This window comes from Homo sapiens, chromosome X (genome assembly GCF_000001405.40).
Source record: "Homo sapiens chromosome X, GRCh38.p14 Primary Assembly".
Taxonomy (NCBI): domain Eukaryota; kingdom Metazoa; phylum Chordata; class Mammalia; order Primates; family Hominidae; genus Homo; species Homo sapiens.
In genome coordinates this window covers 104,157,425-104,172,028 of record NC_000023.11, presented here as the reverse complement: position 1 = coordinate 104,172,028, position 14,604 = coordinate 104,157,425, and the positions used below count along the sequence as shown (strand labels likewise).

At 41.6% G+C, this 14,604-nt stretch overlaps 1 protein-coding gene across 3 annotated transcripts in view, besides 3 other annotated features; it reads right to left on the bottom strand.

Moving 5' to 3' along the window:
* FAM199X (family with sequence similarity 199, X-linked) overlaps window positions 1-14,604 on the bottom strand; it is a 38,837-nt gene that overhangs the window by 23,874 nt on the left and 359 nt on the right. For 2 of the 3 annotated variants that reach the window (NM_207318.4, XM_005262079.4), the window contains exon 1: window positions 5,047-5,576. The exons of the other annotated variant lie outside the window; for it this stretch is intronic. In NM_207318.4, the coding sequence (NP_997201.1) occupies window positions 5,047-5,243 (197 nt within the window). In that variant the 5' untranslated portion in view covers window positions 5,244-5,576. Of the gene's footprint in view, window positions 1-5,046; window positions 5,577-14,604 lie in introns of those variants that run through there. 3 annotated transcript variants of the gene reach the window in all.
* Window positions 5,234-5,734: an enhancer, noted in NCBI's record as "H3K27ac hESC enhancer chrX:103410976-103411476 (GRCh37/hg19 assembly coordinates)". NCBI's record gives its function as "activates a minimal SCP1, AML or CMV promoter by ChIP-STARR-seq in naive H9 embryonic stem cells {active_cell/tissue: H9 hESC(naive)}" and the evidence as "EXISTENCE:reporter gene assay evidence [ECO:0000049][PMID:30033119]".
* Window positions 5,234-5,788: a biological region, named in NCBI's record as "H3K27ac hESC enhancer GRCh37_chrX:103410976-103411476".
* Window positions 5,299-5,788: a silencer, noted in NCBI's record as "silent region_20924". NCBI's record gives its function as "represses an Ori minimal core promoter by ATAC-STARR-seq in GM12878 lymphoblastoid cells {active_cell/tissue: GM12878}" and the evidence as "EXISTENCE:reporter gene assay evidence [ECO:0000049][PMID:35858748]".

Below are 14,604 nucleotides of genomic sequence, written 5' to 3'. Positions count from 1 at the left end.
GCCAGTGACAGTCTAAGTTGACATAATCTTTCTTAAAAGCAATTTGGCAGTACTATGTACATCTAGACGTTTAAAAAGGTTCATTCATTTGGAATCAGTAATTCCCCTTCTAGGATTGTGTTCCCTTCCCCAAACAGAAATTTGGAAAAAAGATGTGTGTACAAATATGTCCAAACAATACTATTTGTAATAGTCCAAAAGGGAAAATAAATGCCCCTAAAATATGAGGATTAAATGATATATCTGAATGGTATTTTTATAATCACTAAAAATCATATTTTCAGATTATTCAAAAGGAAAACACCCAACAATATAGGAGCAAATATGCAGGTCACAAACTGATCCTGATGTTTAAAAATTATATCTGTACATAGACACATTAAAAGAAACATCAAAATGTTGATAGTTGTTACCTTTGGGGAAAAGGATCATGAGTGGTCTATAGTTTTTTATATGCCCTCAGTTTTCTATAATAAGTTTTTAAATAAAAATTTAAGTGTGATTCTTTCAGACTGTTCTGTCAGTTTCAAACTTGTAATGAATGTCCATTGTGTGCTCAGCACTAAACTATTTAAATTTACAAGCCCTTACATTATATTCCACTAAGAGAAAGTTACCTAACACTTCGACTCTAGCTATCACCATAATATTACTCTCAAAAGAGACTTTCTCCAAAATCTTGAAAGACGTTGAAAAGAATTCCAGTGAAACACGGTGTTTAACTCAATAACTAGGCTTGCTGCCCAAATTTTAATTAAAAAAAAAAATAAAGCCAAGAACATTTCTCTGCAAGGTGTTTCAGCAAGAATATACAGACTAAGGACTTTCAATGGTATTTTGGTAAACAGCCATTTAAACGTTAAAATTAAGAAAAGCATGTGTACCATGTACACATTCCTCTGCACCCCCTTTTCTCTCAGGTGGGCCTGACTGCCACTTCTGAAGATAAGAATCCAGCCAATGAGCACTGTTGAATGAAGTTCTGCCAAGCTGATGAAGGTCATTTGAAGTCTATGCTATATATTCATTCTTAGGGTACAGTGCCCCATCAGTACTTGTATTCACCACTGACTCTCTGCCAGAATCCCCATATAGCCAACCTGACTTCTGCTGCTATTCTGGAGTCCAACAGGCCACCAAGGTTCCAAGTTAGAGAATATACAACCCCTTCTTCTACCCACTTAAGTTCCCTACTTTCCTCCTAGCTACCCCAATTGTGTTGGGTTCATTACCCATCTTTCCTGCCCTCTTTATTGCCTTGGAAGTAAAAAACACTCTATGTCATTTCTAAGGCTAATGATCCCATTTGGACTTCTGAGTTCATCATGTCTATCTCTCATCCCACCTTCTTTTATATTTTCAATTTCTCCCTTTCCTGTGGCCTGCTTCTAAGGAGCTAACATCTCTATTCTTGGAAAAGAAAAACTAAATGAAGTTAAAAAAAGAAAAAAAGAAACCTTTATTTCCCTTTCAAATTCTCACAACATCTCCCCTTCTCCTTTCTTTCCCTGCTAAATTTATTGAAAACCTTCCACTCTCTCAACCTTTGTAACCTGTAGTTCCACTTCTATCACGTCACGGACTTCTACTGATTACTCCCAAATCTGTATTTCTAGCTTGGATATTTCTCCAAATCCTAACCCCCCATTTTCAACTTGTCTCAGCAAGTCCCCAAACCAAATTCCTCCAACATGGTTCTCCCACCTGCAACCCACAGCTCTTCTGCACCTCTAATTCTGTATCTAGATAGGAAAACTATGGGTGTTACCAAAGGCACACAATAGTCTTTAGGTTTTTCTGGTTAATGGTGATTGAAAACGGAGCTCTAAAATCACATAACTGAGTAAAAGATTTATGCAATAGTTTGGAAGTGCTAAGAGAAAACCTCCATTTACATCAGAAAATCACTGCCCCCAAAACCAAAGAAAATGTCTTAAACACTACATATGTTCCACACTGACATTTCACATTTTTAAAAAATTCATTCACTTTTTTGGCTTATTGAAATTTATTCTATTTTCCTAAAATTCTAGACCAATCCATGTAGGTCTTAAGGTATGAATGCTTAGGAAACTGGCTGTGTCCATGTAATGTATTTTCTACTGAACCTAGACCAGTGACATACCAACCTACATCACAAATGACTTTAATTTGAATACTGGGCCGGGCGCGGTGGCTCACACCTGTAATCCCAGCACTTTGGGAGGCCAACGTGGGTGGACCACCTGAGGTCTGGAGTTCAAGATCAGCCTGGCCAACATGGTGAAACCCTGTCTCTACTAAAAATATAAAAATTAGCCAGGCATAGTGGTACACGCCTATAGTCCCAGCTACTCAGAAGGCTGAGGCAGGAGAATCGCTCGAACCCAGGAGGCGGAGGTTGCCCTAAGCCAAGATTGTGCAACTGCACTCTAGCCTGGATGACAGAGCAGGACTCTGTCTTTAAAGAAAAAAAAAAATCTGAATATTGCAACCATTCAACCTCAGGGACTGTTAGTGCTGTGACTGTCTTTGTTAATGAAAATTGCAAATATAGCCCAGAATCCAGTAAATGAGTAGGCACAAAATTGTCATAATCATAAGGTCCTTATCAAGTGCATTATTTTTAAAATCTCCACATTTTTCTTATCAGGTACCAAGAAGGAAGCAAAATTAAGGTTAAGTCAAATATCTACCAATTAACAAGCTTCCTACTTCCAATGAAAATTTGTTTTACAATCACTAAACCCAAGGCAGAATTTCAGCACTCAACTATTTGAAATCTGATTTTTGGGTTGTTGCCTGAATTGACAAATGATGTGATGTGAAGGAAAAAAGTGACACATACAACTCCAAAATAAAAGAACTCCCTAAACTTTGCCCGATATATGATTTAGCTGTGTGCTTCTCCCTGAAAAGAAATGGCTGGAAGCCTATGGTCCTCTCAAGCACCATCTTGAGGAGGGGTAAGAAAGCAGAACATTGCAGAAGGATAATACATTTAAAAGGCAAGGTAGCCTAGGACAGAAACATCATGTGCTGTGAATATCGCTAATTTTGCTTCCCCTACTCTCTGCTGAAAAGGATACAGAGCATTAGAACCCCTGCCACCATGCCAAGCCTTGCGAAAAGTAGGGTAGGAGAGGGAAGTTAAAAAAAAAAAAAAAAAAAGCAAGCAGTAACTAGGAAAAATGCTTGACTTGGAAAAACTGGGGCTTGCAAAGAACCTCCTTCTCCCCTCCTCACTGCCCCATTGAAAAACAGTCCTGACCTCACCACAGTCTTTAAGGGAAAGAAAACACAGGAAAAAACGGGGAGGAGGAAGGAACAGAACAAGTTGTAAGAAACATATTATTCTCATAACTTCACTCCCCATCACCTCTACCCAGTTTTGGCAGTACTTACCCACAGCCTCTGCCCTCACTCCCTTGCCCTCATCATCACAGCAGGATCATTCTGAAATTATTTAACTTTCCTGGGTATGTGACTTGCTCCAAGGCTGCAAAACTTAAATGCCAAATATGTACAAAGGTATTCTTTTACATTATTTTTCAACATAAATAACCCTAAGCACACTTGATTTCATGAATATGTTACATTCACATTACAGTGACATCAGGGGTTAAATAGGCTTCTGTGAGTTGGTCTAGGAAACCATAAGTTCTATTTGTAACACTGGATCAATTAGTTCTGCTCCAAGTTTAATCATTGGCTTCAAAGGAATAGTCTTGGATTTGCTTGACTAGGTTTTATGACCTTGAACTCAATCTTTTCTTTCTGGGCCTGTTTCTTCATTTTTTGCAATGACGATTTAGAGTAGTCATAATAAATTTACTGCCACTTCCTTTTGAGATGTGTTATACTGATATTCTGATTATTTAACTATAACACCTTGTTTCCATAGACTATAACTTTCATTTATGTAAGAAACATCTTTTACACATTCCTTGTATCTGGTAGAAGCTCATTCAATCTACAGACTGATTTAAGGGAAGGGAGGGGAGAAATATGCTAAAGACATTAAAATATGGAAGAATTTGATCAAACTCACATCATAAACTTGGATCAGAAGTCAGAACTAGATTTCTTAATTTATCTCCAGTATTTTCCATAGCTGAACCCCTCTCCTAGAGCCTTAACCACACACCCCCCCAGCCCTTTGTATATGTATCTCAAATATCCACCTATGTTAAAACTTGAGGCTGTATCTAGAACGTCTTCAACCCACCCCCCAAGATTTGATCTAACACGTAAATGCTTGCATGAGAGAAGTCTCCAGAACACTACCTTCTACTGAAATCAGTTAGGAGGAGATACACCCTCTGAATAAATTTGTGTAAGTCAGTCCATCCTAAGCCTTACTCTGTCTCTTCAAAGGGGAAGGAAACCAAGGGATATGTCATATGAAGGAATCCTCCAGATTTAAGCTTACCAATTTTGGCAGAGCCTAAAGCGCTAAGGCAAACAGTTAATAAAGGAGGAGGAAAAAAAGAGAGAATCGACTAGTTTCCTAGCGCTCAACTAAAAAAAAAAATGGGGTAGGGGTGGTGGCGGCGGGGGGAACAGGACTGTGAGACAGATTAAAAATAGGGAAAATGAAGCTTCTAGCTTTAAATGTTCCACCTTTCAACGCCACTTTTCAAAAGATCTATGGATTGATCTTGAGCCATCCAAATTCCTCTACAGCGTACCGGAAATGGAAGGGGTTAAACTTTTGCAGATGGATGCAAACAGGGGCGTATCTAAAAATCAAGGGTGGGGGTTTGGGATTCGTAGGGTACAGATGGGGGGAGGGAAGGGAAGCAAGGGAGGGAGAAGGTAGGGAAGGGAGGAGTCGCTATAGCCAGAATATGAATGAGGAAAAGAGAGTAAAACGCCGGTCGAAAGGAAAATAGGAGGGCAGGGGTGAAAATAGGGAGGGGGGGCAGGGAAGGAGGCCGGGAATGAGCGCTGGTCGAAAGCAGGTGGGGGAGGGGGCGACTGGAAGCGCAGCCCGGGACGAAGGATCAGGAGCGGGGGGCGACCAGAAGTGGAAAATCCACCCCTGCCCTCAGGTGCAGTTCGTACCTGTTGGTGTGGAAGCGGTGGAGCGGGTCGGTGCGATGGCAGGAGGACAGCTGGCAGCCGAAGTCGCTGATGTCCAGGCAGCCCGGCTCCTCGCTCGGGCAGGTGCCCACCCCGCGAGGAGGTCCCAGGAGTGGGAAGGGCTCCTCGGGGGTTAGAAACTTCTCGTAGGAAGTGATGGCCGAGGCCTCGTCGGACATGGTTGGAGATGGCCTGGCTCGGGCTCCCTCTCTGGCCCTGGGCTGCTCCCGCGCCCGCCCCTGCCCCCACTCTAACCTGTCCGCAGTCGCCGACGCTCCGGGGTGTGCCCGTCGCAGCTCACTGGCAGGCTGGGCGTCGCGGCCCGCTGCTGCTTGCCGGGGTGCGGGGCCGCGCGAAGAGGCTGCTCGAGGCCACAGCGGCCCACCGGCCACCCAGTTAGCGCCCCGGTGGCCTCTGCAGCTTCCGCCGCCGCCAGACTCAGCCCGTCAGCGCAGCGCCGCCGCCCGGCCCGGCCAGGCCCGCCCCGCCCACTGCGCTCGCCGCTTGCGACTGCAGCAGTCTGCCCGGCGCCCGCAAGGAGGGGAAGGGCGGCGGGAAGCCACTCCCCGTGCCCCCTGCTGGACCGGAGGAGGAACTGAACCTCCGCCCGCCGCGGCCCCAAGCGGCCCGCCCCGCCCTCTACGCATCGAATCAGGGATTCAGGCCGCTAGAAAGGCTAGGCGCCTCTGGCCAACCTCCTCCTCCGCTTTCTCACTCGTACTCGACTACTAAGCAGGAACCGCAGTCCCAGAAAAGGGACTTGGCCAAGGTCACACTGCGGGTGCGTGAGAAAACATCCAGATGCCCTGGTTCCCAGCGCACTCTTTCATTCTGTCCCAATTCAACAAGTATTTATTGAGCTCCTGCAGTGTGTGCCCAGCACCGTGCAATGAGGTGTAGGAGAAATCGTCCAAGCAGGGAAAATAGTCCCTTCCTCACCCTTGATCACCTAACTCCAAGAACCCTACGCTGCAGCCACTCGCCTACTCAGAGCTGCTGGACACGTCGTACTCTTTTGTGCTTTGCGCCTTTTGCTCATAGGCACCCTGCTTGGAATGCCCTGCCATTTCTCCCCTGCTAATCCTTCAAACTCCAGCTCAAACGTTATCTCCTCAGTGAAGCCTTCCCTGACTCCCAAAGGAGACTAAGGCACACCTGCTAATTTGCCCCCTCCCTCCCGTAGAAAATATATTATGGAGCTTAACTTGTTCAACTTGAATCAACTTGTTAGGTGTTATATAGTGTACTTTGCTGTTTATCTCATCTCTCTTCTCTATATTCTGGGCAAGTGATTCCTGTTCTTGGATGCGTAAGATTAAAAAAAAATAGAGGAAACCCCAAGATTACTAATTTCTTACTTTGCCCAAAGAAGACAATTTTTAAAACTACCTAATATTATTTTATAAAAGGAAGCACATTTTCATATAAGAGCATAATTCTTCAATAAAAGCAATTCTTTGCATTAACTATATTTATGAAGAAACTACATTGATCCTTCAGGAAAGCATAGAACTTAAATAGGCGGAAAGGAGGGGAAAAATGAAAGAAGGCAGGAGGAAGAAGAGAAAGAGGGCAGGAGAAGTGGGGGGTTGTCACTAAAACAAGCCCCATTCAGTATTAAACTCTGTGCCTTGCCCTACCAATGCAACTTATAGTGAAAACAGCTTCTCCAACGTGCCTTTAAAATGTATACATTATCTTGCTTCAGTTACTTGGTTGTTTGACTGTTGAGCATGCCGGCTTTCTTTCATTGAGATTGCAAGAAGGTGTGTTGCATTGTGTATGTGGCTTTCAAAATGAATCATTCATTAATATCTAATGAGGCTGACCAATTTAAAACTTGTGGAAGTGAGGCTGATGATGGTTTGTTCTATGGTCCCTAATGCACCAATCCCCAGGGGTCTGAGGCCAGTGAGGCTGAATGGGCCATGGCTTAGTCCCCAAAAACAAGAGACTTGATTATCCAAATGAAACAAGAGTCAAGTGCTGCATGATAATGCAGGCACTCAGGTAATAGCACCAGGAACTGTTAATAAGAAGCTAACGAAATAGTCTATTTTATTTTATTTTATTTTATATTTTTTTGAGACAGAGTCTTGCTCTGTCGCTCAGGCTAGAGTGTATTGGGGCGATCTTGGCTAACTGCAACCCCCACCTCCCGGGTTCAAGCTATTCTCCTGCCTCAGCCTCCTGAGTAGCTGGGATTACAGGCATGTGCCACGACACCTGGCTATTTTTTGTATTTTTAGTAGAGACGGGTTTTGCCATGTTTGCCAGGCTGGTTTCGAACTCCTGACCTCAAGTGATTGACCCAACTCAGTCTCCTAAAGTGCTGGGATTACAGGTGGAGCTACTGTGCCTGGTGGTCTAATTTAAATATATATACCTTTTACACATACTATAAGAGGTGGGTGTTTTTTTAAAGCGGAGTCTAATGAGAGAGTCTGTGAGGTTTCTACAAGTATGTGTTTTACTTTTGTGTTTAAGCATATTCTGAAGTATCTGTATGACCACATGATAACTAACTGCTGCCACATGATTAGGACATGTATTTGAGTTTATTTTCACAATGAATTAGCATAAGATAATACTACTTTAATTGTCATGATCCTGTGAGAAGACAAATGAGGTGCACCTCATACTTGGCATCTTCCTAAACAAATGAAGGGTTGCAGTAGTCTGAAGAGAATAAAGTGATGGGAAAGTGGAGTCAACCCCAAGACATACTTACAAGCCGAAGGCCAAGAGCATATGCTTGCCAGTCAGTAGTATGTTCACGTTTCTAGGGCAGTTTTGTTTCATCATATATACCACATTACACTGACTTTGTAAAAAAGTTTGTGCACAATTTGTAAATTTGCTTTGGTGTTACATTTGTACAAGAGCTTTATGAACATGTAGAATTTAATGTTTGTTTACATTTAAGAAATATTATAAAAAGAATTTACAGAAATGTTTGGGTGTGAGAGAATTTTTTTTAAAAAAAAAGAGGTCCCAGGCGAGGCACGGTGGCTTATGCCTGTAATCCCAGCACTTTGGGAGGCCGAGGCAGGCAGATCACCTGAGGTCAGGAGTTCAAGACCAGCCTGGCCAATATGGTGTAACACCATCTCTACTAAAAATACAAAAATTAGCTGGGCGTGGTGGTGCACACCTGTAGTCCCAGCTACTTTGGAGGCTGAGACAGGAGAGTCGCTTGAACCTGGCAGGTGGAGGTTGCAGTAAGTCTGGGCAACAGAGCAAGACTCCGTCTCAGGAAAAAAAAAAAAAAAAAAAGAGGTCCCTCCATATATTTCTCAGTGAGAAATACTGACATAGACACGGATAGCAGTACATAGAGTTGGTGCACTGTATGTATAATGTTTACTTAAATATATGGTAATAATGTATTAATACATCTTAACCAAGTTCTTAATCACTGGAGTTGATGACTGTTGGGCATCCTGCCTTCTTGTCTCACTTCGATTTGGTTTGTCCCTTGGGTGTACTTCACCTCAATGGATTTACCCAATTCATCTCTCCCTTCCATTCTCCAAGATCCTTCCTAATTTCTGTTTCTCTGAAAATGTGGGTGGGTATAGTAGTTCCTTATTTTCTCTGAAGATCTGAGCCTGAGAGCAAACCCTGGGGTAATCTGCCTTAAAGTCTTCAGATGCATAATTTACCTACCAGAGAGCTGATGGCTGCAGGAGAGACTGAGTGGTATCGAGAATTGTCAATTAACTTTTATCATTTTGTTTACCATTGGATAGAAATATACTGGACTTAACCCAATAACTGGTGATCTAACCCTTATAATTTTTTCATGTGATTGATGAGCTCGAAGTGTGTGTGTGTGTGTGTGTGTGTGTGTGTGTGTGTGTGTGTGTATTTAGCTGAGTCAAATATCACCAACAAAACCTGCTGATAAAACAAAGCTTGAATTTCTTACGTATTTTGGCAAGGAAAACCTCAACTTGCACAAAGCTTTGGCAATGTTTCAGAGGGAAATGTCTGGGCAGAATTTATTAAGAATTGGAAGTTTGATTTAAGGTGGATATTTCAATGTGGGGTCTTGATTAAGACTGGGCAAGCATCATTTTACAACAATCCAGGATTGGTGAAAGCAGCAAGATGAGGATTTTGAGGTGAGGAATTCAGAGAATTGTAGGGTGCAAACTGTTGATGCTTTCCATTGAAGAGGTGGTAGGTCTTTCAGGAAGTTCTGTGAAAGATGTAAGAATTAGATCCATTCTTTTTGTACGTGGATGTCCAGACGTTCCTACATTACTTATTGAAAAGACTATCTTTCCTCCATTATATTGCCCTTGCTCCTTTGTCAAAGATCAGTGGACATTTAAGGAAAGGATGAATTTGGCTTGGGAGAAAGAAGATTAGTGAGGTTTTTACAGTGAGTGACATTTGGCCTGGGCTTTTAGAAGAGTAGGCCAACAAAAGATGGACATTTTAGATGAAACATTGTAACCCTGAAATTATGGATCGTTTCTGTGGTGAAACTGGTGAATTTTGAAAGATAGACTTAGAAAACGTTTTTGATAATAAATGGTGTGATATCAATCATATACAATCATAGAAACCCTTGTGAACAAATGTGAACCTCAAAGAGCCAATCCTTCAAGATGAATCCGCAAATGCTAATGGCCTAAATTTAAAATAGAGAGCCAAACAGCCATGTGCTGACTAGAGGTCATACACCCACTCTGAGTTCCCAAAAAACCTCCACCTTTTTAACTTTGGGACTTTTAGAACTCAGCTGTATCAACCAATCAGAGCTCAGCCACATCAACCAATTGGGGCTCAGCTGCTTCCACCAATCAGAACTAAGCAAGTTTGTATCCTTCATTTGCATAAATGGATGTGATTGGGAACCTGGGTGTGAACTTTTGCAATTAAACCTAAACCCTCTTTTGTTGTCTGGAACACACCTTCATTTTAAGCCTGTTTGCATACTGTTCAGTGGAATATAGTCTCTTTCCTCCAAATTCCTTTTCAGAGAACTTTTGTTCACACCCTTAAGGGTTGATGGCAAAAAAATTTTTGAGAAATACCAACCAAGGGGACGATTATAACATTTTTATATTTGTCCTCATATAATTTTCTTCTTCTTCTTTTTTTTTTGGTTTTTAGACAGAGTCACGCTCTGTTACCCAGGCTGGAGTGCAGTGGCACTATCTTGGCTCACTGCAACCTCCACCTCCCAGGTTCAAGTGATTCTCCTGCCTCAGCCTCCTGAGTAGCTGGGATTATAGGCATGAACCACCACGCCCGGCTAATTTTTGTATTTTTAGTAGAAATGAGGTTTCACCATGTTGTTCAGACTGGTCTCAAACTCCTAACCTCGTGATCCGCCCACCTCGGCCTCCCAAATTGTACAGGGGTGAGCCACCACGCCCAGCCTCTTTCTTCTTCTTTTTAAAAAGAACATAAGATATATTGTTCCCCCGTAAAATTCTATCCAGTCTAATGTTTAAGTACTTTAAAAATTTTAATGAATGGGGTAATTCACCATTCTTCAATTGCTCTTACCAAACCTTTGTTTAGCCATTGTTACAGATAAGTTAGGAAAGTCATATCTCCTCTTTGATGTATATGTGTGTTAAGCAAGTAGCTATGATATTCTTTCCTATGCTTTAATGAAAATCTTGTACACAACTAAAATACTCCATGAGACTTACAAATATTGTAATTTATTTGACTAATGTAGAAAGGGCTTTTCAGAAACAACCAACATTTCTCAGATCAGTATGAATTTTTGGTTTAATGATATTTTCTTAAGAAAATGTTTGTTTTAGTTACCAAAAGTAACCACTTAAAAGACCCTCCATAATCTGATTTTTTTGGAGAGGAAGATGATCATATATTTTGCTAAACAGCAAAAAAGGAATTAAAATAAATTATGATATATAATACATGTAAATAAAAATAATAAAAGGAACCAATTACAAGAGGTCATAGCAAAAGGAATGTATTAAAATATATTCAGAAATAGGTAATCCTAAAGAAAATTATTATCTTGGTTCTTTTATTGTAGCTAGAGGAATGGATTTAGTCAAGTGAGATTAGAATCAGTGACTATACATTATTTACTATGTAAATAATAGGATATATACTTTGGAGGAGATGCTAGATGTTTTGAAATTTTCATCCTTGCAAATATATATTTCAACAATCTGGTCATTTTCAACCTGAACATTTTTTTCAATCTGAACATTACTCTTAACTAGTACTTGTACATTTTTACAATATTATGATTGAAGTTTGTAAAGATGATCCAATATGTCTTCTGAATCATAGAAGAATTATTAAATTAGGATATGTTTTTATTATTTGCAAGCTGGTAATCCGGTCTGTTGTTGTTTCTTTTTCTTTTAACACTTCTAGACTAATCGGAGCATGCTTATCAGGTATCTAACCTTGGGCTCATTCTTTGATCATCTTTGACAACACAGAGTTTACACTCAACAAACATATAGCAACCAACAGCTGATAAATTTAAGATTCATGCTATTATAGCAGTGTCTATCACAAAATAATTGTGACTTAACTAAAATTTTAACAAATGCCACATAACTCTTTTTAATAAAAACATAATTTTTCCACAATGAAGCACAAACAGATATATCTTCATTTCTAATTTGATAGAATGTAGTCTGCTGGTGTCACCAAGACAGTAGATTTCAGGAATAGGCCAGATCTCATTTTAATCTGAGTTAGGACAGATGTTCAAGTTTGACTTAAGAGGTCTTATCCAGTTACATCTTAACTCACTCCTGACTTCCCCAGAGATGGGTACGATGGCTCTGCCTACAACAGAGGGCCTACAGAGGGACTTCTTTACATGATCCTCTGACAAACATGAGCTGAGCATGATGAGTATTAGGGTTCCCTAGAAGCAGAGCCTAAGGTGGGGCATGATTCTTGGGCCAGTGATTTAGAGCGAGTGCTCTCAGCAGCAGCGGAGTGAGAGAAGCAGGATATGGCTGGAGGAAAAAACCTAAGCTCGCTGGAAACAAGCTCTAGCCTAATCCCAGGAGGAGCTCTGGAGTAGGATTTACACCACAGAATTGGTCAACCTTGAGGCAAGGTACCCTTGTACTCTCATCATCAGTTAGTCATTGCTTTTGGCTGCAGGGTTGTGTGTGTAGGGGTTGGGGTTATTAAACAGAAATCTCCCAGGCAATGAACCTCTTCTGCAGAGTGCAATTCTGCAGAGAAGGAAGCAGCTGTATTCATCAGCTAATACCCACAGCAGCTGGGGGATGGATCTATCTGCCTTGTAAAGGGGGCCTGAACTGGTCACCAGCTGTGTAAAACACTATGGTATAGAAACACTGTCATATATATGTTAGGACCCCAGAACAGCTCTGAAGAAACAAATAACTGAAACATACTGAAGAAAGCACTGCAGAACCTGAACACTTAAATTATGTACGTAGAGCATTGCTTCTAAAAATATGCTATGAGTACGACTAAGGATGCTAGGAACACATCTCCCTTTCTAACATTGGGTTTACGAACATCCTCTCCCCTCAACTACCCAGTTTGCTTAGCAGTAGCAGCTGGTGGTGAATTCTGCCATTAGGGCAAGATGCCCAGCAAGGAAAGAACTGGGTTGGTTAGGAGAATTTAAGGCAGATGAAGTCTCTGGAATGGGGATATGGTGTGTAGGGTGAAAGGAGCTAAAAGGGAAAGGTTTCTTTGTGTATGAAACCCACTCACCAATCTCCACCATTTGTTTATTTCTACCGGCCCTAGAGACACTCTTGTTGGCTCGTCTTTCCTCTGCCAACACTTTTGCTTTGCATCAGGATTTTTCTCTTTCCTCGCCTCTGAAACTCGACTTCTCACAGCTCTACCCCTTACACTGACACTTTCTAATAGTTTGACAGCTAGAAATAATGGAGAAAATTAAGTAAAAAGTCTTTCCGTGCTACCTCTGTTATTTTTGTTTTTAAATTTGGCCAAGCCCAGACATGTGTGCTATCGTTGGGTGTTGGGGGAAAAAATAAAAGACAAGATGATTTGTCTGCAATTCAAACCCAAGAGGGTTTCCTAGGTGTGGAGTGATGGGTTCTGAAATGCCAAATGAGAAAGAAGGTCAGGGAGCTACAAAAGAGGTACAGAGGTAGGGACAAGGCAGTGCTTCATTTACCTTCAGCAAACCTGGTGATTTACCTTCTCCTTCAGTCCCTTCACCATCACCAATCCTTCCCCTGAAAAAACCATTGTGGACTGCCTGATGATAAGTTGGGAAGTGAGAGTGGGTAGGTGTGGAGCAAGAATAACAACATCCTGGGTACCGTACATTCTGAAGGAACAGAGGGAATTCCTGTTTTGTTTTAACCTGGGACAGAGGGGATTGGTTTGTTCTCTCCAGGCTGAGGCAGTAATTCCTGACTCTAGGGACTGCTGATATGGAAATTACTACTACCACTCTGGGTGGAGTCAGATGAGTATATTAAAGAGTCTCATTGTACTGTCCTAAAATAAGCAAGATCTTTGCTAATATCCAAGCTTTACAGAACGGTGGGATGAGGTGAAGGCCCTGTACCTTTATCCCCAGTGGTCTTCAGTACTATAGGAAGTAATGGGGCCTGTGTGGCACAGTGGAGGGCAATGAGTGAGCTGGTTATGCCAATTCCTACTATAGTCACCTCCTTGGCTGCCAGCCTTCAAGGGAGAGATCTTTGCCTTAGTGGGTTCTGCCCTTCTGCTTCTGAAGAGAACCTAGTCTTTCTGTATGGGCATTCAGGCAATTCTTGGGGTGGGGAGTTGGGGGAGAGAGAGCACTTGAAAAGAATTTATGGTGGCCTTTTTCTCAGTGATATTTGAGAAATACCAAGACACATCTGAATGTATCTGAGTTTAAGTCTTGGCTCTATTTGTTATTAGCTCTGTGACCGTGGGCAAGTTATTGATTTATATGCAATCTGACTAATCTGAGTTTTCTTAGCTGCTTTAAGCAGACAAAGAGGACAGGAAAGGGTAATACACTTAAGAACCAGCAAAGGGCTATTGTGAGGATGAAGCAATAACAACAAAATGGGTTTAAAGCACTTATCATAGTGCGTGGTCCATAGAACTGCAAACGTTGGATTTTGCTTATTTTAGGACAGTACAAAGAGACTCTTTAATATACTCTTCTGACTCCAGCCAGAGTGGTAGTAATTTCCATATCAGCAGTCCCTAGAATCAGGTATTACAGCCTCAGCCTGGAGAGAACAGGGCAATCCCCTCTATCCCAGGTGAAATGATTATTATCATTTATTATTTATTAGCCAGAGGTCTTAGGTGAGATCAAATTCAATCATTATAATTTATATTTCAATATACTGCTTAACTTCATGATAGGCAATGTTCTAGGTGCTCCTCACATGTGAAATTTTAATATTTTTACTGCAACTCTGGAGGTAAGTACTATTATTATACCAATTCTACAGATGAAAAAGCCAAGGAATAGCATGCTTGAATCACTTGCCCAAGATGCCATGTTTAGATAGTGGTACAGTGGGGATTCGAACGCGGGAGCTCAGGTTTCAA